This window comes from Homo sapiens, chromosome 1 (assembly GCF_000001405.40).
Source record: "Homo sapiens chromosome 1, GRCh38.p14 Primary Assembly".
Lineage (NCBI taxonomy): Eukaryota > Metazoa > Chordata > Mammalia > Primates > Hominidae > Homo > Homo sapiens.
Genome location: NC_000001.11, coordinates 101,988,622 through 102,014,502, shown reverse-complemented (window position 1 = coordinate 102,014,502; position 25,881 = coordinate 101,988,622). Strand labels below are relative to the sequence as shown.

Sequence of the window (25,881 nt, the reverse complement as noted above, 5' to 3'; positions counted from 1 at the left end):
TACCCACAGGCTCAACACCACGTCGTGGTCCAAACTTTTATGCTGCCATGTGGGGCTTGCACCCTTTGAAGCCACTGCCCAAGCTGTACCTTGGCCTCTTTAGCCATGGCAAGAATGGCTGGGACACAGGCTACCAAGTCCTTAGGCTGCACATAACAGGGAGGCCATGGGCCCAGCCCACAAAAGTGTTCCTTCCTCTTAGGCTTCTGGGGCTGTGATGAGAGGGCCTGCCACAAAGATCTCTGACATGCCCTGGAGACATTTTTTCCATTGTCTTGGCAATTAACAGTCGGGCTCTTTGTTACTTATGCAAATTTTTGCAACCAGCCATCTTGAATTTCCCCTCAGAAAATGGGTTTTTCTTTCTATCTCACCATCAGGCTGCAAATTTTCCAAACTTTTATGCTCTGTTTCCCTTTTAAAACTGAATGCTTTTAACAGCACCCAACTCACCTTTCAAATGCTTTGTTGCTTAGAAATTTCTTCCACCAGATACCCTAAATCATCTTCCTCAAGCTTAAAGTTCCACAAATCTCTAGGGCAGGGGCAAAAATGCCACCAGTCTCTTTGCTAAAACATAGCAAGAGTCACTTTTGCTCCAGTCCCTAGCAAGTTTCTCAACTCCATCTGAGACCATGTCAACCTGGACATTATTCTTTAGGTCACTGTCAGCATTTTGGTCAATACCATTCAACAAATCTCTAGGAAGTTCCAAATTTTCCCACATTTTCCTGTCTTCTTCTGAGCTCTCCAAACTGTTCCAACCTCTGCCTGTTACCTGCTTCCAAAGTCGCTTCCATATTTTTGGGTATCTTTACAGCAGTGCCCTAATCCTGGTATCAATTTACTGTATTAGTCCGTTTTCACACTGTTGATAAAGACATACCTTAGACTGAGTAATTTATGCAGGAAAAGAAGTTTAATGGACTCACAGTTCCACATGGCTGGGGCAGCCTCATAGTCATAGCAGAAGGTGAAAGGCACGTATTACATGGCGGCAGGCACAATAGAATGAGAGAGCTTGTGTAGGGAAACTCCCCTTTATAAAACCGTCAGATCTCATGAGACGTATTCACTGTCATGAGAACAGCATGAGAAAGGCCCATCCCCATGATTCAATTACCTCCCACTGGGTCCCTCTCACAACAGGTGGGAGGGACCTGTCCTTATGGCATGTTGCTGTAATCCCCTTTACTCTTTCTGAAGAAATGCTTTTTTTAATCTTCTCTCATCTTGAAATTTGCCTCTTCCTCACTCCCATCTTTGATTAGTATCTTCCTCTGAGACACTAGATAAAAACTAAAAATTTCTCTTTTTATTTTATGTAGAATATATAACTCTTCATCTCTCTCTTAAAAATCCAACTTGTCCTCTACCTTTCTTAATCAAAAGACCTAATAATATTCCAAAGAAAATAATAGTTTGTTCCCCTATTTTCCTTGAACAATTTTTCAAATGGAAGCCAGTACTTAAAATAGTGTGTTTTGAGATACCTGTATACTAGTGCAGAGAAAACTAATTAATATATAATCATGGAGTCTCTGCCTCAGATATGGTTAATGTTGCTGATATTTAGAAAAGATAAACCATCTTTGCTTTCAAATACTGTTTTTTACTTACCAAATTCAAACAATTGCATTGATTTTCTTTCAATAATCAATGCTTTTTAGATGGCAAAAACTGGGTAATGAGGAATTTACACAGATCAGTTTTACTTGGGCACATATTGGAAGGGATTATTTGGGGGGTAGCATTATTTAAAATCTGAGGGTTTGTGTTGCATCCTGAATCTGCCATTCATTGGCTATGTCACCTTAAGTAATAAAAAGAATACTCCTTCTTTTTGAATCTCTCTTTCCTCAAATGTAAAATAAGAATTAAAATTACCAACTCTTGGCTGGGCGCGGTGGCTTATGCCTGTAATCCCAGCACTTTGGGAGGCCAAGACAGGCAGGTCGCAAGGTCAGGAGATCGAGACCATCCTGGTTAACATGGTGAAACCCCGTCTCTACTAAAAATACAAAAAATTAGCCAGGCCTGCTGGCGGGCGCCTGTAGTCCCAGCTACTCGGGAGGCTGAGGCAGGAGAATGGCGTGAACCTGGGAGGCGGAGCTTGCAGTGAGCCGAGATTGTGCCACTGCACTCCAGCATGGGTGACAGAGCAAGACTCCGTCTCAAAAGAAAAAAAAAAAAAGGTACAGTTCCAGGTCTGAAGGTGTTCAGTGTATAGTGAGAGACACGGAGATGCAGACACATGATTACAACTCAATGCGATTAATGCCATAGCAGAAGCGGGCTTAAAATATAATAGAAATCTAGAAAAAGGCTGTCTAAAACAGCCAGAAGGAGATAACAGAGAAAATTGAGATGTGAAATCAAACACAAAAGTTGGGAAAATAAATTGAAGGTAGAAGGTGCTGTTTGTGTAGAGGTCTTGTTGTATAAAAGCACATGGCATTTTGGAAGGCTTACAATTAAATCAATATAACTAGATGATTTTCTCCTAAAATTAGAGAGTTGATTCTAGAGGGGGTTGGGTCCAAATGCTAAAATCCTTGCGTGCCATGGTAAGGGATTTATACTTTTGTCATCAAGTCAATGGGGAGCCACAGAAGGATTTTCAGAAGGATCAGATTTGCATTTTAGAGGGATCTTCACATTCTTGTTAAACGCTCAGTTGTGATTATATAAATGATAATCTCTTTGCTGAACCTAAATTCATGGATTTGCAAAAGATTAAAGTTAATTAGAGAAAGGACCCATGGAATAGCCTCATTAGCCTAAAAATTTACCTGTCACATTTCTGTCATGTTTGACTAAATGCTAAAGGACTGGACATTAAGCTCCAAGAACTATTAAAAATCAGTAAACTTCCATACGATTCCTAGGGTAAGCTACATGATCTACACCAAACTTCTGCATATTTTAACTTCTTTCAGTACTTCTAAAATATCAAGCTGTGAGTCCCTTCACAAAAATCGACGTTATGGGACTATCATAGGGTGGAAGAGGACATAAATGTTGGCTAAACCAAAGTTGGTAGATAAAAAGTAAGTTTTATGGTGGGTCTATGGATTTATGTTTCTGCAATATGCTTAACCTAGACTATCTTTTCTAAGTTGATGACTTTGTCATCTGAGTCCTAATCAAAACGTTAGCAAAATCAACATTTTTTTCTTTGCTTTAATAGGTCCAGTATCCTCTCTCAAGATAAAATTATATTGGTTTTACAAGATTTGTTCTGCACACAATGTTTATTATTATCTGGTACCTGAAGTCATCAAGGTCTTTTCAAAGTTGATTGATGATTTGTTCTCATATTTTTCTAGGCATCAAGTTAAAAATGGAAGTAAGTTCTGTAACTTCAAAAGTTTTAAGAAGCTCATTTACAAAAGGGGAAAAACATGCATTAGTTTTGCCTCTTACTTGTTAGAGGGTGGGGGAGTATTGTAATAATCTTCAATTCTCAAAGGTAATAGCAAAGGAATTGAAAGACTGAAAGGCATGACATTAACGTTCCTATAAATGAAAGGATTTAGGTTATTTTAGAGGAGAAATTTATCTATTAAGAATGTGTTGGGGCTCAGAAAGTGATATCCCAAAATAAAAGCCTAAGAAGCAACCCCAGAAGCAAAGTCTCTCTCTGACCTTATTCTACCTCCTGTCTCTTGCCTTTCATTCTCCCCCTAGGCAAGCCATAGAAACTAGATTTCCTCTTCCCCAAGGTAGGTCATAAAAACCATAATATCTTTTTCCCAAAGCCAGCCATAAAGCCTAAAAACATAATAACATCCCCCGCACCACTTCTCTGTGCAACAGCTGGCCATAAAGAAATTAAGACTCTCTTTCCAGAAGGTCCTACACCACACCCAGGAGGAAGGAATGCTTCACAGAAAGTCCAAGAAAAATTGGAACAGGACTGGCTGAGTTCCCCAACTCAGTCTGTTATCGTTAGATCAGATCCTTCTTATCCAACTGTATTTCAACATGGCTGTCCATATTTAATTGAACCTAAGTATAAAAATGAACAGTTATCCCTGTATCTTTGTGTCTTCATTCTGAAGATTCTCAAGTCACTTAAAACTACAATGCTTTACTTTTGTTAACCTGCTTTTTTTTTATAGGGGTGTCAGCCATGACCTTTATAATGGGGAAGAAAGGGGTGGTTTTCTTTCCACCCCTAAAATGAAATGCCTCTAATCACAGAATAGCTCAGATTTGGTTGCTTGATTACAATTGAAATTTATTTGCTCAAATTAACATTTATAAATAAAACATTAATAGCTGAGTATCTTTGATATCAGTTTTCTCCTCAACCATCACCCCACATCTTAAATTATCTTATTCTTGATTTCTTTAAAGGACTTTTTAAAGGAAAGTTTATAAAAATAAATGTTTGCTCCTCTTGTTTCTTTGTACATTTATTTTTGTTTAAGCTGTTTGGTTGCTAAAAGGTCCTTTTCTTAAGAAAGTTTCCAGGTTGAATAACATATCTAAACCTTAAGTCACATTTTATAACAGTCAAACATGGAAAATAATCTCAAATCAAAATGCTAAGGCTATTAGAAAGTACTAGAAACCTGCTAGGTATAACCATAACAAATGTATTTGAAACTTTTTCTAGCATTACATAGCAGAATTTGGTTAAAATACAAAAACTACCTTCTTTTAATTTTTTTCATTTTGTTTACTTGTATTAAATTTAATGCATTAAGCTACATTGCACAGTGACCAGCCTCCCTACTGTTTCCTTTCCAAGCTCAAACTCACTTAAGAGATTATAAACCTCAAGTATTGAACCCAATTTGCCAATACCGCTAAAGCAGCAAGTAGATTCCCTAAAAGGAAAAGACAAATTTTACCTTCTCTATAGAAATGTTTTTCTCACTATTAACAGAATAGATCAGCTTTACTTTTTTGAGGGCTCCAAATATAAGTTTGTGGCACCAGATATGAAAGTCCATTTGATTTGCTCTCAAAATCTAAAGGCAGTACTTACAAAAGATCATAGAACATTGAAAACAAAAACATTAATTTCTCTATCTAACTATGTATAATGATATAGCCTTTTTTTTTTCCTCATTAAGAATGGTCAATACACCCTCTCTTGAGAAAACATTTATAGTTGATGGCATGTCAATATTCACAAATGTTATGTTCAAATAAAAGAATGTTCATCAGGCTGTTAGTTTTCTCCAAATTATTATTTATTTGTTAAATTGTCAAAAAATATGCATGACATAAAATTTATCATTTTAATCATTTTTAAGTATACAATGTATTGACATAAAATACATTCAAATTGTTGTTCAACCATCATCACTATTTATTTCCAGAACTTTTTCATCATGCCAAGCAGAAGCCATGTACTCATTAAGTCCTCTTTCTCTTAACCCTAGTAACATTTATCATAATTTCTGTTTCTATTAATTTGTCTATTCTAGGTACCTTATATAAGTGGATTCATATAATCTTTGTCCTTTTGTTTCTGGCTTATTTCACTTAGCATGTTTTCAAGTTTCATAGATGTTATAGTATGTATCAGAATTTTATTCCATTTTAGGTCTGAATATTATTCCATTACAGGTATGTACCACATTGTGTTTATCCATTCATCTGTTTATCAACATTTGGGTTGTTTTCTCTTTTTGGTTATTGTAAATTATGTTGCTATAAACATCTGTGTGCAAATGTCTCTTTCAGTCTCTGATTTCAATTCTTTTAGATATATACCTAGAATTGCTGGATCATATGGTAATTCTATGTTTAACATTTTTAGGAGCTGCCACACCGTTTCTACAGTGGCTGTGTCATTTTACACTTCCATCAGCAAGGCACCAAGGTTCCAATTTCTCCACATCCTCAAAACACTTATTTTCTCTTTTGTTTTGTTTGATAATGCCCATTGTAATGGATGTAAAGTGGTATTTCATCATAGTTTTTACTTTCATGTCTCTAATTATTAGTGATGTTTAGTATGTTTTCATATGTGTATTGGCTGTTCGTATATTTTATTTGGAAAAATGTTATTCTAGTATCTTGCCCATTTTAAAAATCAAGCTGTTTGTTACTGTTGAATTGTAGTTTTTATATATTCTGAATATTAATCTCTTGTCACACATATGATCGCAAATATTGCCTTTTCAGTCTCTTGACATTGTATTTTGAAAGACAAATATTTAAAATTTTGATGAAGTTCAATGTATCTATTTTTTGTTTTAGCCTGTGCTTTCAGAAAATTAAAATAATGGAACTCCAAATAGTTTTGCTGAAAGGAAATTACATATTAGCTTCGTACAAGCACATACTGCCAAAAGAGGAGAAAAAGTTCAGCTTATTGAAATTCTTGTATACTTAAAAGATGTAAATATGTTTTTTGAAGTTTTTAATTGTTCAATTATTCTTGGGTTTGGGATTGCATGTCTAAGTAATCCAATAGATGGCTAGATGTTCTCTCTATGACTTGTTTGGTCCTGCCTTCCACTGGACATTTTCCCATACATATCTAGGAGTATGTATTCTAAACTGTATCTCAACATTTAATTCAAAACAATTAATAATCAGTTTAAAAGCTGCAAGGCACTTAGTATTTATAATAAACTTTTAAAATTTAAAAGGCAACTTCTCAATTATCTTGTAAAGAAGTATTAGTGAATATATCCAGTCAACCTTATAGGTTATCTTTGCCTTTCATTGTTTTGACTAGCCTATTTTCCAACCTTAGAGAGATAGAAATTAATTTGTAGAAAATACATATCTATGCAAGCAATTTCTGTTCATAGAAATGCAGTCTGTCTGGTGGAGGTTCAATTTATTTTGTTTCCCTAATAGGAGAGGCCAGTTTTGAATCTATTAAGCAAATTCATTTTAGGATTTCTAATGGCCTCTGCATATGTCTGCTCTGTGGATTCTTCTTCTTACTAGTTATACATTTTTTTTTCTGATTCTCTCGTTAACTAAAGAGTTAAATAAAATCTTTGACAAATATTTATTTTCTATGAGAGCTGTAATTTTGAACATTAAAAATAATATTTAATGGCCAATACCCCATTAAAATAGTTCTTTAAAATAGTCAAGATATTTTTAGAGAAGTAAATATATTTTAGAAGTAGTTTAATTTAATATCTTCTCTATGTCATTTTAAAATTATTATCTATATCCTATACATCTTTTAAAAGGCAAATTAAGTCTTTTTAAAGTCAAGTTAAAATTTTTTTATTCATCTAAACTCAGAGTTTTATGAGTCAATAATTTATTCAATAATTAATCTTGTATAGCACTGAATATATATCTCTTTATACAATATTTAATTTTTATGTATTAATGCCTGTTTTTTTTAACATGAGTCTATAATTCTTAAATGTTGCATTGCATTGTAGCTCTATTTTTAGTTTTGTGAGGAACCTCCAAACTACTCTCCATAGTAGTTGTGCTAATTTACATCCCCACCAACAGTGTAGGAGGATTCCCTTTTTTCTACAACCTCACCAGCATTTGTTATTGTCAAGATTTGGAATCAACCTAAGTGTCCATCAACAGACAAATGGATAAAGATAATGTGGTACATATATACCATGGAGTACTATTCAGCCATAAAAAATAATGAGATTCTGTCATTTGCAACAATATGGATGGAACTGGAGGTCATTATGTTAAGTGAAATAAGCCAGGCACAGAAAGACAAACATATCACATTCTCACTTATTTGTAGAATCTAAAAGTCAAGACAATAGAACTCATGGAAATACAGAAAAAAGAATGGTTATGAGAGGCTGGGAAGGGTAGTGTGAGGGGTAGGGGAGAGGAGGGGTTGATTAGTGGGTACCAAGAAAAATAAAAAGAATGTATAAAACCTAGTATTTGATGGCACAAGGAGATTGTGGCCAATAATAATTTAATTGCACATTAATAAACAGATAAGAGTATAATTGGATTGTTCATAACACAAGGAGAAATGCCTGAAGAGATGAATAACAAATTTTTCATGATATGATTATTATACATTGCTTGCGTATACCAAAATATCTTATGTACCCCATAAATATGTACACCTATTATGTACCCACAAAAGGTAAAAATAAAAAAAATGTTGAGGTCTTTGTATCATCCACAACATAATGCTCTGTACAGAACAGACGCTTAAATAAGTAGTGATTTGATTTGCTTATTTAATTAATGCCCACAATGTCTAAAAATCCATCCAGGTACAATTCATATCCAGAAACAAAATCTGTTAAATAATTATGGAATTATCCAGGGTTCAAAAAATAATACAAACATATCTTAATTCTTTTCATCAAGTTTATATGAAGTAGAACTCAGGAACCATGGATGCCTCCTTGGCTAGCTTTTTCTTAATACAGTTTAGTCTTTTTAAAATTCACTTTGCTCTTCTTCCATCTCCATCCCTGAAAAGCCTGCAGGACCCCTTAGGGCTGACTATAAACCAGTGGTTTTCAACTTCATTTTTGCTCTGCCCAGGAGAAGAATAAATTAAGTTTAAATTCCTCTTAACAACTGTAATTAAGCACTAAGAAATAAGATTTTGTTGTATAATGTGAAGCTTCAGAAGGGCCACAAAATATTATACAGTATAAATTTTTTCTTCCCTCCAAAACCAACTTTTGCTCTCTTCCAGGCAATAACATCTCCCTTAACCTCTGTCAGATCACCTTTTTCAGAAGTCTAGGGTTACTAGGAATTCCAGATCATCTTACTATAGTGTCAGGGAAAGAGATGATCAGAAGCTGGTCATAAAAGCCCCTGTGAAGACTGTTTTATTTTGATTTCACCCTCACTTACAGGTGTTTAGCACTTAAACATCTCTACTCAAATTAAGAAGAGGGGGAGTGGGGACAGGGCTCTTACTTAGGCAAAAAACCTGGAATTCTAATTTGTGTTCCCCTAGCCCTGTGAGGTCAGAGGCTCCAATAAGTTTCTCAGTCTTTAGGTAGCTTCTTCTGAAGATGATAGCCACTCTTAATGGAAAAGAGGTCCTAAAAGCCAGGCTGTCTTCTTATTTCTCTGCTCTCTCAGACCTTGATCCCATATTTCATCACCGACATTGCTGTTATCCAATGCCTTCAAGCAGTTGTATTTACATATTTTTTCTGGTTCTTAAAGTCATTCTCAGTAAGAGACTTGGTCCAAATTATTTAGCCTTGCATTACTAGAAGCACAAGTCCTTTGTAATATTGGTGTTTATTTGTAAATATATATATGTATTTAAATATATATTTGTAAATATACATATTTAAATATATATATTTAACTTAATTTCTTACTAATTTTTACTAAATTGTTTTAGTAAAAAAAAGCTGCATATACTGCCAAAGTATACGCAAATCAAAATCCACCTTTAAAATACAACTCAGCTAGGTTAGTGATTGGTGAGGGAAACATGGATATTTTTAAATGAGTGTGTGAAATAATCCCTTTTGTTATATAATTTCAAATATGGCTGCCCTCAGTTTCTTCCCTCCCTGTATGCACATGGCTGTGCTTTACATTGAGAGATAAAGTCCAATTACTTTTCTCTTACATCTGGTCTTGTTTTAGTTACTTGCTTAAGAAAAAAAAAAGCGATATAAATACTTGCCTTCTTATTTTTTATTTTTATTTTTTTGAGACAGGGACTCACTCTGTTGCTCTATTGCCTAGGCCAGAGTTCAGTGGTAAGACCACAGCTCACTGCAGCCTGGACCTCCTGGGCTCAGGTGATCCTCCCACCTGAACCTCCCGAGTAGCTGGGACTACAGCCGTGTGCCAACATGCCTGGCTAATTTTTTTATTTTTGCATTTTTTGTAGAGATGGGGTTTCACTGTTATTAAGCTGGTCTTGAACTCCTGGGCTCAAGTGATCTGTCCACCTCAGCCTCCTAAAGTGCTGGGATTGCAGGTGTGAGCCACCATGCCCGGCCATGAATTCTGAATGTAGGTCATAATGTGATTTTTCAGTATAAGTCATAAGAATTCTCGCAGTTTCTGCCTAGGTCTTTTAGAATACTAGCTCTTAAGATGCTCTCTGAAAACCTAGCTGCCATATTGTAAGACATTCAAGCAACACAGAAAGATGACACAGAGGTGATCCACTCAATAATGCCACCTGGGCTCCTAGCTTACAACCAGTGTCAACCGTAGCCATGGGAGTGAGCCATCTTGAATATCTAGTCAAGTATAGCCTTCTATCTGACTGTAACTGTATACAAAATCCTAAGTAAGAAATTGTAGCAAAATTATGACCATTAATAATATATTTTTTATTTTAAACTATTAAATTTTGGAATGGTTAGTTATAGAGCAATTGATAACTTAAATATCCTCAAAAGCTTTACAATCAAGTGAAGAAAGACAAAAAAGTAGATTTTAATAATCAAGCATAGTAAATACAATGATGAAAGCATACACAAGACATTAGAAAACATGATGAGAAGAGACACCTTGAGGGAGGATACCAAGGGTCAAATAAAGAGAAGAGATGGCATTTAAAGTGAAATTCAAATGCAGAATAAGAACTTTTTAGGCAAAAGAAGAACTATTAATCTCACAGTAAAACAGAGTTAAAAGACGTACAATTACCAAACATTTGCCGGATTCCAATTATTAGTTGACAATGGTTAGAAATGAGACTGGATTGGAAGGCAGGGGCCATATCATGCAAAAGTCTGCATGAACCATTTTAAGGACTCCACACTTGATCACGCAGAAGTTAGGAAGCCATTGAAGGCCTTTAATCTGAGACCAATAAGATAAAATTAGTCTTTAAATCAATTAAGTCCTTTGTGGCAAACAAATTGCAAGTTGAAAATAGAAGTAAAAACAAACAAACAAAAAAACAAAAACTGGTGGCAAGGCAAGGAAATAAACCATTTTAATACTTCAAATGACATTAATAAGATCCTGACCTAGGTGTATGTGGAGCAATAGGATAGATTTAGAGATATTCTAGAGATAAAATTAACAGTATTGTTGATCCATTGAATGAAGAGATAAAATGAGGGAGAAGTTAAGTGTGATTTCCATGCTTCATGCTTTGCAATGGGGAGAAAATTGTGTCACAAACTAATACGATTTAGGAAAGATATTCATTTGAAATACTGAGTTTGCGATGGAAGAAATTACATAGTGACATCTAGTAAATCTTGGGTATATAAATATTCATGAAGAAATTAAGGTTGAAAAATTCAATCATTCATTCATTTATTGATGAAACCATTATTAAGTGACTGCTAGGTGCTGGACACTGTTCTAGATGCTTGAATTAAGGTAGAACACCATACAGACAAAGACCCTTCATAGAATACATTTTAATAAGAGAAACAGACATTAAATAAATGACATAAACATAAATAGAGAATAATTGGGGTATTATTTTTGATAGGGTATTTAGGAGAGGTAGGGGATCTAGATGAAAATGGCTTAAAAGCAGGCAGGAAGAAAAGTCACCATGAAAGAGAGTAGAAGAGCAGCAGGCAGGAAATGAAATCCTGGCAGTCCTCTGACAGGTCACAGACATTAGGAAATGAATCAAGGGCAATTTTCATCTACATAATGAAAGATGAAGAGTTGCTCAAGGAGTTTATATTACATGCTTAGTTATTGTTATTTTTATTCTAAACTAACTAGGTCTCTCCATGATAAATTATAGATGAAACCAAAATAAGGAACAGCATTTTTTAACATAATGGAATATCTCTGAAAAGCTGAGGAAGTATAAAATGTATGAGAAAAAGTACAGTTGGCCCTTGGACAACTGAAGTTGGTACTACACAGGTACATTTATACACAGATGTTTTTCAATAAATATATTGGAAACATTTTTGTAAATTTGCAACAATTTAAAAAATTCAGACCAACTGCATAGCCTAGAAAAATTGACAGAGTTAAGAAAAAATGAGCTATGTCATGAGTGCATAAAATATATGTAGATACTAGCCTATTTTATCATTTACTATGATGAAATATACACAAATAAATTATTAAAAAGTTAAAATTTATCAAAACTTGCACAAACGAACAGACTGTAAGTGGTGCCATTTGTAATACCAAGAAATATAAACAATATAAAGATGCAGTATTAAATCATAACTGCATTAATTTAACTGTATTACATATTGTACTACTGTAATAATGTTGTAGCCACCTCCTATTGCTATTACAGTGAGCTCAAGAGTTTCCAGTATCCACTTGACACTAATCTCCAGTGAGCCTTTTGTCTATCTAGTAAATTGCATGTCACAGTGAAAAGTGACTCTTGTGGTTCTCGTGTACTTTTCATAATGTTTAGTAAAACACTCTATACAATACCCTTGAATAACATTATGGCATTTGTATGAAGTGCCACTAGCAATGCTGGAAGTCCTTCCAAGAAGCAAAGAAAATTCATGACATTACAAGAAAACGTTGTACCATAGCTTGAGGTCTGAAGCAGTGGCTGCCCATTATTTTAACATAAATGAATTCAATGTAAGGATGATTATAAAAACAAGAAAAGGAAATGTTTGAAGCCATCATTGCAGCTACGTCAGCATGCACATATTTTGCCAAATAACTTTTGTGTACATATAAGATTTCCTGTAAGAAAGGCATACCTATAGACTCTAATGTGATTCCAGAAAAAGCGAAGTTATTATATAACAGTTTGAAGCAAAAGAAAGGTGAAGGATCTAAAGCTAAACAATATAATGCCAGCAAAAGATGGTTTGATAAGGTTGGAAAGAGGTTTGGCTTGAAAAAAAAATTCAGGATAAGAAGAGAAGCAGCTCCTGTTGACCAAGAAGCAACAGACAACTTTCCAGACACCCTTAAGAAAATTATTGAGAGAAAAGGATATCTTCCTGAGCCAGTTTTTAACACAGACAGAAATGCCCTGCTCTGGGGGAAAAAATGCCACAAAGGACATTTATTAATAAGGAAGGGAAGGGAACACTGGGATTTAAGGCAGGAAAGGATAAGCTAACTCTACCGTTGTGTGCAAATGCAGTCGGGTTTATGATCAGGTCTGCCTTTATCTATAAAGCTGCTAACCACATAGCCTTGAATGGAAAACATAAACACCAGCTGCCAGTCTTTTGGTTGTGCACCAAGAGGACCTGGGCAATGAGAATCCCTTTTATGGACTGGTTCCATCGATGCCTTGCCCCTGAAGACAGGAAGTACCTTGTCAGTAAGGACTCCTTTTTAAAAAGTTCTCTTGATATCGAACAATGTCTCTGGTCACCCAGAACCCCAAAAGTTTAACACTGAAAACATCCAAGTGGTCCACTTGCTCCCAAACATGTCTCTTTTTCAGCCATTAGATTAGGGGATCATAAGGACCTTTAAGTCTCCATTACACATGTACTCTATAGAAAGGATTTTCAACATTATCGAAGAGAACTTCCATAGAGAGAACTTGATCAAAGTTTAGAAGGCTTATGCCATTAAAGATGCCATTGTTGTTATAGAAAAAGCTTTGAAGGCCATCAAGCACACAACAAGAAATTCCTGCTGGAGAAAACTGTGTCCAGATGTTGTTCATGACTTCACAGGATTTACGACAGAGACAATTAAGGAAACCGTGAAAGATACTGTAGATATAGCAAAAGAAAGTAAGGGGTGAAAGGTTTCAAGGTATCAATCTTAAAGAAATTCAAGAGCTAATAGGTACTGCATCAGAGGAATTAAAAGAAGGTGACTTGATGGAGATGAGTACCTCCAAACCAATGCCAAGACAATGAGGAGGAAGACATAGAAGACACAGTGCCAGAAAACAAATTGACATTAGACAATCTAGTGGAAAGATTCCAATTATTCCAGACTACTTTTGACTTCTTTTGTGACATGGACACTTCTATGATATGGGCACTGAAATAAAAGCAAATGATGAAAGAAAGATCAGTACTACATAGTCAACTTATTAAAAATAAACATGTTTAGAGAAAATAGTAAAAAGTCAACAGAAATTACAATGTATTTCTGTAAACTTACACTAATAGTGCCTGCATCTCCTGTCTCCCTTCCCATCTCTTACATCTTTTCTGCCTCTGCCACCCCTGAGACAGCAAGATCAACCCATCCTTTTCTTCCTCTTCCTCAGTCTACTCAACATGATGATGACAAGGATGAGGATGGTTACGACTATTCAATTTCACTTAATCAATAGTAAATATATTCTCTCATTTTCTTAATCACATTTTTTCTCTAGTTTTATCATAAGAATGCAGTATATAACACATATAACACAAAAAAATGCATTAACTATTTATGTTATCATAAGGTTTTGGGTCAAGAGTTAGGCTATTAGTAGTAAATTTGGGGGAGTCAAAAATTATTTTTAAATTTTCAACTATGCAGAGGGTCAACACTGCTAATACCTACATTATTCAAACGTCAACTGTATATCATACAGTCTCTTATCAAAAGAAAATTAAATGCATAAAACATTTAGCTAACACTATAATCAAATATAGAATTAAGAACTTTTGTAACATAAGGCACAAATATTTTAAAAATTTGTATCATTTGTTCTAGGTGTTGTATTGTACCACAACTTCATATAAGCTTAAGAAGGCCAACTTTGACTAGACACATAACTATCAAATACTTTGTTATGCATGCATTCAAAAATGCAAGATTTCTAAATCTGTTATGTATAATTTTGTTATGTTATATATAATTATGTATAATTTTGTTTTCAGTTAACTACAGTTACAAATCTGAAGTGACAGTAAAAACAAAAGCAAAAAGATGCACCATTTATTACTTTTAGTAGAACTCTTTTGACTAGCTAATGCAAGACACAAGATACAAAGAACTACTTGGAATTTCTTTCTTGCAATGAGAAATGCTCCATGGATTGCAATGTATGAATAAGATATGATGTTACCTACAATGTTGTTAAATTGACTGTATGGAAATATATTATAAGAGGGTTTTATTTCTAAGCAAATGACTAACTAAAACCAATAGTTATCTTTAAGAGAAGCTATGCAACTGTATTGTTTTATTTTAGAAGAGAGATAGAGGAAGTAGTAGAGTATTGGTGAATTTATACTGTTTAGATTACAGCTTGTGTTTTTCAGTGGCATGTTTAATACAGCTTTGATTCATTACTGAACTTGATTATTCTCTACAAATGACTAAGCTTCTCTTATGGAAAATATGTTGTAAGTTTGCTAAGATCATCTGTTTTCATTTGTAACATAATTACCATATATTACTTATTTTGGATCTCTAAATATTATCATCTTCTTCCATCACATTTTTTCTGACAAGATTTCATAGAATTAGAATTTGCCTTCTTATTAACTTCTTGTTACAAATGACATTCCAGTGCCATAAAAAAGGAGAGTTAAAGAGAAAAAAAACTGTGCCCACATAAAAGTTTTGGTACAGTCACTAATATTGTAAACCATGTATGAGATCAGAATAATTCTGTTTCCAGAAAAAAAACATTATTTTCATTATAAGAATATCTGTTTATCTTGAAGTGATAAAATTGATATTATTATATTTTCATATTACTGTGTGTGTCTGTTAAATACAGCTTCCTCTACTCAAACAAGTATAATGTACTACTGTCTGCTAATTGAGAGGTAGAGATGTAAAAAAGATGGTAGAAGACTTCTTGGGAAGAGGGAAAAGCATGTGTAAATACAAATAACAAAAAATGTATTTAGAGAATGGATAATAAAAATGTATTATTATAATCATTCAGCCAACACACCTCTGCAAATTCATTTTCAATCTGCACAGTCATGTGAAATATTTAAAAATGGATGCAGAATTTTCAACAATTTCTATGTGTGATTTTTTAAAAATTATGCTGATTTTATCCTACATAGATAGATAAGTATGTAGATGTTGATAGGTAGAAAAGTTTAGGTTAAGAAGCAAATGTAAAAAGAAAAAAACTCTGACAAATATGTTCTAGGAAGTTACCCCAGAGAGTGGTACAACTCTATAGTTTTATCTATTACCTCAAAATAATGGAAACTTCTAAATATGGTTATGGCTGTTAAGATTATTAAATTAACACCATTATAAGTAATTTCACTTTCTTTCTATGATTTTGCAATCTCTATTTTGTATGATCCACTCCTTCAAAAAGAATTATCAGATGTAGTGAACTTCATGCCATTTATGTTTATAGAAAATAAAGACCTCAAGTAACTATACACACATTTATAATATTAGGATTAAAACAGATGCAATATGATGTAAATTCTTGGGGACAATAACTTTCAAATGCATTTGAGTCCTAATTGAGATTTCTTATATTAAAAAATAGGATATATTTTCAGTGAAAGGTTGATGGAGATTTCATACTCGGTATGTGTCTGATATCTCAATTCATTGTCTTTTAAATGTCGAAGTAAAAGGAAGCAATGTCCACAGACCCAGTCTATCTATATATTTTAACCCTTAGGAATTATAATTTCTAGAAAAATCAATAGAAGATGGAAATATTACAGGCATAATTGTACGAGAGGGATGTTTCAGGGTGGCTACCAACTTCTTCCTTTTTATATTATTGAGAACACTTTTTCCATATTCAAAGAAATGAAATTGCTCCAGTAAGGTTGAATGATGCAGGGTAAGAGAGTTTGCCATTTACCCTTTCTTTGCTCTTGTGAGGCAGCTATTCTGCCTTTTCTTGAGCCCTAGATTACAGAAGTGTTTGAAAGCTTAGAAATAAACACTCTTCCCATCCCGCTATCCATCTATCAGTGAATTCTTCTTCAAGTAAAAACACAAGTCAGACTGATAGAAAAACTATATTTCCAGGTATGGCTGTGCATATGGGGGGGATATTTCAGCTGGGGGGATCACTAATGGAATATACCATTTATAACTAAAAGAAGAATATAAGCCTCTTTATTTATTTATGCATAGTGTTTTTAGATGACCAAATCCCTAGATAGATAGATACACATTAATACCTAACCAAAACATATAACTTTAATAAGCTATTCATAAATGACTGCACATATCTATAAATTACCACATTCATCTATCAATAACAGCTGAAAATCGTGTGCCTTGGATGACACACACTGATAGTCTGCACTGCAAACTTTGTTTAAAGCACTAAATACAATATCAAGTCCTCTGTCAATGACAGCAGAAGGTTCTAGTGCACTATTTGTTTCATAATCCTGTATTTAGCTGACTCTTTACTTCTCTGCAGCTCAAGTTGCCGGCAAATGCTGAACTGGAGCACGAGAGTCAATCCTTGTTTGGTTAACAAATTCCCCGCAAAATATCCCCCCGAAACCCCCAGGAGCTGTAGTGATGTCATATCCGTTGTCCAGGTCTCCACACCTCTCTCAGCAGTTAATCCCTTTATCTATTCCTTGGGTCAAAACTTTTGAGGTGGGCTAGCTATATAGCAGCGGGGGAGAGGGTAAACTGGGGCGCGCGGGTTGGAGGCGCTTCAGCACCGCGGCCAGCGCCCACTGCAGCCCAACCCACTCTCTAGAGCTCCCGGACTCCTAGCTCTGAGAATGCCTGCGGAATGATCGCCCCCCAGGGCGGCTGCCGCCGCTGCCGCTGCTGCTGTTATTGCTACTGCTGCTGCCGCCGCCTCTGCTTCCACTCGGCTCTGACTGGCAGGCAGAAAGTGCAACTGACGAGGGAAAGGTCTCTGCAGTGAGTGGAGAGCCTACATAAAAGAGAGTAAAGAGGGGCAAAAACCCAGATCAGAATGCAGGCGACGTCCAACCTTCTCAACCTCCTGCTGCTGTCTTTGTTTGCCGGATTAGATCCTTCCAAGGTATGAACAATATTTTGAGTCTTGTTTGAAATAAATGTGCAATATGTAACAAACCTAACAGAAATGCAAATAAATATGTCAAAAACGGGACGAGAGACAGCTCTTTCAGCTACCTTATGGTGTCTGGCGTATCCCCACTGCTTGGAACATAACAAGGTGAACTACCGGAGGAATAGCTCCTCAAGGTAGAGTCCTACTGCGCGGGGGGAGGGACTAGGAGAAAATATAATGTGCATGGGCAGCGGGCAATGCGGCTCTCCGGGGAATTTAGCTTATTCCGTGTCCAACTGCTTAATGCTCTCTTTTGAAGTCGGACGGGTAATGCAAAGGAGTTTGCAGTAGAAACAATGCAATTTATAAACATGTATTAGGACATGGTGAACCGTTTCTTTGTTGAAAGCAGGGAAGCGTTTTCCAGCTGATCCTGGTCAATAATACTCCCATCGCAGACGTGCTGCGGTTTGTGTCCAAAACATTTGGGATGCTGCTTGTAAAACACATGGCAGAGCAGCAGAGCTATACTCTCTGCCATGGCTGAGAGGCGTTGGTGAAAGGAGCTTGTGTTTGTTTCTTCCTTTTCATTAAGAAAATTAGGGGGCACTGAGGAAGTTCTGATTATCAGTGTTAAGAAACAGGAAGTGAGAACCTTAACAAACTAAGGAGGGCAATAGGAAGGATGAGTTAACTCATAGACGTTGAACTCTGAAAATTATCTAGTACTGGCAATGAAAGTGAACGCTAAACTCCTTTGATAAAAAGACAGGAAAATATGGACAAATATTTTCAACGATGTCTGAGAAAAGTCTTGATGACAAAGTGAGATAATTTGAAAGCTTCAGCCTTCTAAGAAAATCATAATGACAGGGAATAAGAGATAAGCCACCTGGTGAAAAAGAGTAAGAGATACAATTTATTATTTTACTTATTTAACTGGCCAACAGCAATTTGACAATATAGGAAGAATGATTCCATGCTATAAAACTAATACAAGCTATATTTTGGAATATTATAAAGTTATTTTTAAAGCTTTACATCATGTGTGTAGTGTAGACAAATTAAGTTTCCTTTCATTACTGAATAGAACTAAGATGTAACCAAGCATAATTTAATACTGTGGTTGTGATATTTGTAGGCCTAATATAGTATACAGTTAAAACTTAGAATCATGTCGTATATATTTGTAATTATTTCTGTACTCTTTCATATTTAGAAGGACCTGATGAGAATAAATTCATTTTATTTTAAAGCTTTGATTGTACTGGTATTATTGATGTAAACGCTTCACTCTGTGTGAATGTCATCTTAATAATCTTAAAGGCATATTTTATATACTAAGGTGTAGCTTTAAAGCATTTTACACTTAGGAAAAAGTGTTGATTTTGTTTTTATATTTAATTTTTTTTCTTCTTGACTCTGCACCCTGTAGTGACACATTCTATCCACTGCCACTCTTTTTATATGATATTGTTTAAAACTTTTGAATACATTCCATATGATTTGGGAATATTCTTGGTAAAACATTTTCTAAAAGCAAAGTTAATCACTAAGTTACTGCAGAAAAAGTCACTTGACTTAAAGTGAGTTTTATTTGTTTTTCTTTAAAATAAATTCAGAAATGTAGAGCTTCATTAACAATTTTGTGTGTGATTTGATTTGTCTGTTATCTTTGATGCATAAATATCTTCACTGCTTGCACCCCTTTCTTTCCAAAATTAAATATGTAGATAATTTTCTGTTAAATATGAAGACATTTTTAAAATAAGCAATGCATCTTTGGTCAATATAATCTTTTCTAGTTTTGGTGAGTTTATTTGTGTGTATTCAATGCTACAAAACTTTTTACTTTCTTCAGAATGAGCTGTGGATATTTGCTACAAATGAGCTGAAAAATCCAGGGAAGGCATACATTAACTTTTCAAACTGTCCTTCTCAGCTTCCACATACTGCAATACAGTGTGCAAAGAACAAAAGATGATTTTTTTAAAAGACGATATTTGTTCTATATCATAGACATTACAGAGAATATTAAAACTTTCAAAACAAGTAATTTTAATGTTGTAAAAAGTTTTAGGACTTTTAGACAAAACATTGCTTTAAAAAATGAAGAGAAGCTACTTTTGTATTAATATTATATATTTATATTTATATAATATATATTTATATTGCTCCCCCCCAAAAAATTACAGATGGCACCATTGTGTCCTCAAAAGAATTGTCAATTAGGTTATAAACTAAGAATTTTGTAAAATTTTATTTTTCATTCTACTAGTTACTTAAGGGCTTAGATTTTAAAAGTCAGGATTCATAAAGCAAATTATATATGGTGAAATTAAAATTAAAAATCCAATAATATAGTACTACAAAAAATACAGTTTTTGGACAAATAAGAAATAATTTGTGATAACACTTAAATGAACAGAAATGCTAACCAACTGCCTTTTTGCATACTAATACATTTGGAGTGATATGGGTCATCATCAAATTTTCAAATAATTTTAAGTATTATTCTATATTGTTATACTTTGTTTATTTTATATATGTATATAATATATATACCTCACATGGATAAACAGAAACTGGCAAAATGGGAAAGCTCTTAAAATTGAATAGATTTTTTTTAGGTATAGGATTTTACATATATCAAATACTGGAAATCTACATCTTAGAAAGTACTTCTTATATATTAGTTTACCTGAAGACAACTGGGTTTTCTAACAACAGTGCCAATTCTATTTCATGGAAGACTATATAATGTTTACATTTATAATGCGGTGTGTGTCTTTTTTTTTTTTTTCTGTCGCTGAAGCTTACAGGTCTTATATGGCATTTTATAAAGTGCTTAAGTATCGCCATCTTATGGTAAGATAAGTTACTTGAAAGTCAGTATTGTTTTCAGGTTTTTAAAAATGGCCAAGATTCATTGTTCATAGACTGAGCTTAGTTTCAGCATGTACTTAGTTTCTTTTCTCTCATTTACTGTATCAAAAAATTGGCAAGATTGGTATTCTTTTCCAACAAAGGAAGGCAATCCACACTAATTAATTATTTGTATTTTTATAGGGACAGATGATCAATTTTTCTTTTAGGAAATTTGTTTGAAATACTTTCTATTAATTAAAGTATAATTAGTAAGTTTCCAGTTCTTTTTAGAAAAACTCAGATGTATATCACTGCCTATTTTAAGAGATGTCAATTAATTTCATTTGTAATGGAGTGTTTGAATTATAGACGACATGCCAAATCATCATTCTGTAAGCAAAATTTCAAACACCGAAAGCCTGTAGGAATTCAATTATTGCTCAATTTTATAGGGAAAGAACTATTTCTGTGTAGGGAATTTCTGAGGGCGGCTGCTAGATGGCATCTCTGTGCTTTTAAACTGAAGGCATTGATTTCAGTAATGACCTTGATGGTAGAAGAGTGGACTTCTTTCTGTTGCAGGAAGATTTTTAGCGGACCATTATTTGAACATTGTAACAAAACAGTAATCCCTGTGAATCAGAACCATGAATTTCTCTGCTCTGAACTATAAAGATAGGAGGATATAAATATGACTGAGCAGGTTTCAAACACAACATTGACACTGGAGCCAGCTACATATTTGGGGAACAGTTAAAAAGAGGTGACATGGCCATATCTGCACACCATTGTGACTGCTAAACTTTAGATGAGTCATACTTGTCTCATAAATATATCAGAAAATGCCCTATCAGGGGAACCGTGCTGAGTTTGAGGAAACATTTACTGTCTTCTTATGTAGAAATATGTTAAACTTATCTTCATGATACTTTCTCACACTACAGACATAAAATATAACAATGATTCAGCAATAATCTCCATCACCAAACTGTGGTTTCTGTCCAAGGCAACCCAGGCAATTAGATCTCTTGCCCTAAATAACATAATTGCTTTAAAGCCCTATAGGCATGATAAGCAGTAGGAATATTTTAATAATTATATTGTTGAATGTTTCATAATGTAATATACCATAACAATTTTGATATTGCTAAAGAAAATAATCAGACTTAAACTGCCTAAGTGTAGCTTTCATACATAAATCTAATTAAAGTTCTTGTTCTTACTATTTTTAAATGAAACTGAGAAAAAGCCAAAAAAAAAAAAGCAAGAGAAATAAACTGAGATTACTACTTGCTTTAAAATTCGCCTTAAAAATCTGTCTTTTCCTGTTTCTCTCGTGCGCTAGAGACATCCTCTTCATAACAGGATCAACTCAAATTAGAACAGAAAATATGGATTGATGACATTTGGCAAGGACCTGTAATTATGCACCAGTAAACCCTGATGTGGCAAAAACTGAAGAGTTCAAGGCAGCCTGTCTATGTTTTGATGGAGCAAATAGCTTCCTGGTCTCATCTTTTCTCATCTTCCTTAACCTAATTAAACTTTTATTGTGGAAGAAGTAAATATTCTTTCTCACTCTTTCTCTTGGCAACTAGAAACAGTTAAATGGTATCACCTTTCTTCATTTTTCTTTTAAAATTCTTACTGCTTATAGCTTTGCAACTATTCTCTTTACAAAGTGGCAATTGTGATGATTGATGCTCTGTTGGGAGGGAAAGCAGCACAAGTGGGAGAAACAGAGGATTCAAGGTCCTTCATTTCTAGACCCTACCTCTTCTATTGATGATATACATAGATGTGACTTTGGGGAAGCTGTGATTTTCATGCCCATACCTATAGAATGAGGAGCCTAGATGTTCTGAAAACTTTGTTAAACTCTAGAATGAATTTTTAATAATATTTGACCATTTATCAAAAATTAACCAATTCTTTTGTAGGGTCTAGTTAGTAATATCATAAACTTTGTGAGACCTGAGGACAAGCTTCCTTGGATAGTATCATGCAGTTTTCATCTTCTCGGTTTTGCCTTTAAAGCTTTCAATTTTCTACTTTCCACCTCACCACTCTGCTTCCCTCCCTGTATTCATATACACAATCCATATACTCAGGCTTCAATCCATTCACCTATCAAACATTGCTCCCCTGAAGAGATCATTCATTAATCTAGTATGTCTGAAAACCAACACGTTTCCTACTTCAGCCATAAGTATTTTATTTAACTGAAAGTCATCTAGGGAAATGTAAAGTAAAAACTTGTTTTCCATATGAAAAGAATTACTGGATGTATTAAAGAGATGTGAAAGGTTATTTGGGAAGGCTACATATAAAACGTAGCACATATTCTGTTACTGACTCTTCTAGGCAGACACATCCTTGAGGATTTTAGACTGGCAATTATTTTTAAAGCTTCAATTTTTGTACTAAGAAAATGTATAAAGAAAAAAGCGAGACTGGATAAACCTTCAGCTAAGAAACTAAGACTTTGCATCTGATTTACTTAAGTATTAATTAAACATCAATTTACTTAAAAGCACAAAACACAACTTAATTGGCAGTAGTGAAACTGGGGAAAGATACAAAACCAGACTGTTGTCTTGGTAGGTTATGTGAAATTAATTACAGTGAATCACTGGGATTATCTGTACATTTCCATATATCTGAGTGATATTACTTCCTGATAGCATTCAAGTATTAGGACAACATCAAAGCTCTGTAAACACTCATTACCCTGGTTTAAATCTACAATATGATGTTGAAATGGTGGTCCTTGAACATTTTAGTTCACCTAACACTGGTCATTAATCTACTCAGTCTATGCCCACTTACCAATCAAAAACCACGAAGTATATATATATATATATATATATATTTTTTTTTTTTTTTTTTTTTTTTTTTTACTTTTTGACAGAGTCTCGCTCTGTCGCCCAGGCTGGAGTGCAGTGGCACAATCTCGGCTCACTGCAAGCTCTGCCTCCTGGGTTCACGCCATTCTCCTGCCTCAGCCTCCTGAGCATCTTGGGACCACAGGCGCCTGCTACCATGCCTGGCTAATTTTTTGTATTTTTAGTAGAGACGGGGTCTCACTGTGTTAGCCAGGATGGTCTCGATCTCCTGACCTCGTGATCTGCCGCCTCAGCCTCCCAAAGTGCTGGGATTACAGGCGTGAGCCACCGCGCCCGGCCACCATGAACTATATTTTTAACGAAACTAATGCTATTATGACAATATTTTAAATACACTTTTAAATTTTGTACTTCCAAATCAGTGTAAAAACAGAAGCTGGACATGAAATAAGAAGTGGCTTTCAGCTCTAACAGTACAACTTTTCCGTAGTGAGTTAACATGTCTGAAGCTCAGTTTTCATAACAATGAAATAATATAACAGCAATGGAGCTTATACAATTATTTATGATATTAATACATGTGAAAACATATTTTAAACCATAAAATTTAGTGCAAATATTCCACTTACATCAATCAACCTATAACCAAATCTAAAGTCTATTGCGGACCATATATTAAGGACTCCTAATAATAAAAAAGGCTTATCACGTTCCTTCACTCTTGCTGTTTCCTCTTCTCAGCTTTGTGAAAAATGAATATTGTATAAAGTTATCAGCATAGCTTCTCAAAACCAGCCCATCATTTTGGTCAAAGCTCCAATTTAAACTTGTCACCTTACAAGTTTACATCATAATTATATCCAAAAAGGCATATTTTACAAGTTTCTTAGGAAAAAATGTAAAACACGAAGAGTGGCTTCATAATATCAAAGCCCAACTGCATCAAGAAAAGAACTTTTAAACTAATCATGGAGAAGAGATCACATAGGGGAAAGATATATTTAAACAAAGAATCTACCAACAGATAAAACTGTTTTTTATGGCCAGTGTGCAAAGTATGGACTTCTTATGTCTTCACAAACTATGATAATGAGAAAGTAGTTTACATTCTTTTGAAGATTCAAAAATAATATTAAGGAGGGAAGGTCAGAAAAGGGATTTTCTCAAGTTACTCAATCAAGGCAGAGGGTCATGGAGAAAAGACCGCATTTAGGAATATAATTTCTCTACTGTTTCCCTTGGATTGCTCTCTGTCCCTCTGCTTATATTGATCTTCTTGCTCTTCTCAGTAGAGACTTCTAAAGAGTTTTTCAAAAGACCTTGACCCTCAATTAGCTATTGTAATATTTCTGCTGATGTTACTCATCCAGTAGCAAATCCACCTCAGTAGCTCATGAGTTAATTTTTTTTCTTTTCTATACTCAACATGCAAATAATATGAAGGGTAAAAAAAAATACAAAAGGAAATATGTAATATCTAGAATAGACCCCACTCACGAACAACTATTATTTTAAAAATGTTTAAAAATACTTACACACCATACCATAATGAGGTTTAATTTATCTCTGTTACTTTCTATAAGAGGTTGCAGATTATTTGGGGGAATCTAAAATACAGAAATAGCATAAGACCATCTCTATCTACAGTGCCAGGTAATTTCAATGGCAACATTCAAAAATGTTGCTGAAATAATAAAAAATTGATTTTTCCAAGAACATTGATTCTTTTTTGCTTTAAAAACAAGGTGTTGTAAAGCATGTATCACAGAGCTATGCCTTCTGTTATTTTCATACCAAGCCTTCAGAAGTATAAAAATAAGTTTAGAGAGAAGATTGCAGATGCTGTTGTATTCATGGTTTTGCCTCTCCCTGGAAAGCTTTTTTCCCTCTTCTCCATATGTCAAAATTTTACCTATATTTTAGGATGCAACTCAAGTACAACTTTTTCCACAAATTCTTCCCTGACATTCCTTGCACCCCAAGAGTGGATAATCCTGATAAACTAAGAACCCCTAGAATAAAATAATGATGTTTTATTTATATTTGTATCTTTAGCTACAGGTACTGTGTCTGATGCAGAATAGTTGTTCATGAACAAAAGTTGAATTGGATTTCCTCCCTACCCCAAATTTGCAAAACAATTCCTAATCACTCTTTTCTTTTTGAAATAGTATTTAGTGTACACATGCTTTTCTTACTTTATTAGTAGTTATTTTATTGTATCTCTCTTACTAAATTGTAATGTATTCATTTATTGTATTTTATCCCTTCTAATAAATTATAAGGGCAGGTTCAGTGCTTTGGGCACTATCCTATTCTTTCCTATCTAGCAGCTAGCACAGTGTCTTATTGATATAAGATATTTAATAAGTATTTTTTGCATGAAAAAATGAATATATGAAGAATACATAAGTCAAGGAA

The 25,881-nt window shown here is 34.3% G+C and overlaps 1 protein-coding gene across 4 annotated transcripts in view; it reads left to right on the top strand.

Annotated features, from left to right (window-relative positions):
- Positions 1–17,576: 17,576 nt before the first annotated feature.
- OLFM3 (olfactomedin 3) overlaps positions 17,577–25,881 on the top strand; it is a 194,367-nt gene continuing 186,062 nt past the window's right edge. For all 4 annotated transcript variants that reach the window (NR_110211.2, NR_110210.2, NM_058170.4 and 1 more), the window contains exon 1: positions 17,577–17,755. Coding sequence is in view for 1 of the 4 variants with exons in the window: in NM_058170.4 (NP_477518.2) it covers positions 17,687–17,755 (69 nt within the window). In the remaining 3 variants the exon portion in view is untranslated. The remainder of the gene's footprint in view (positions 17,756–25,881) is intronic.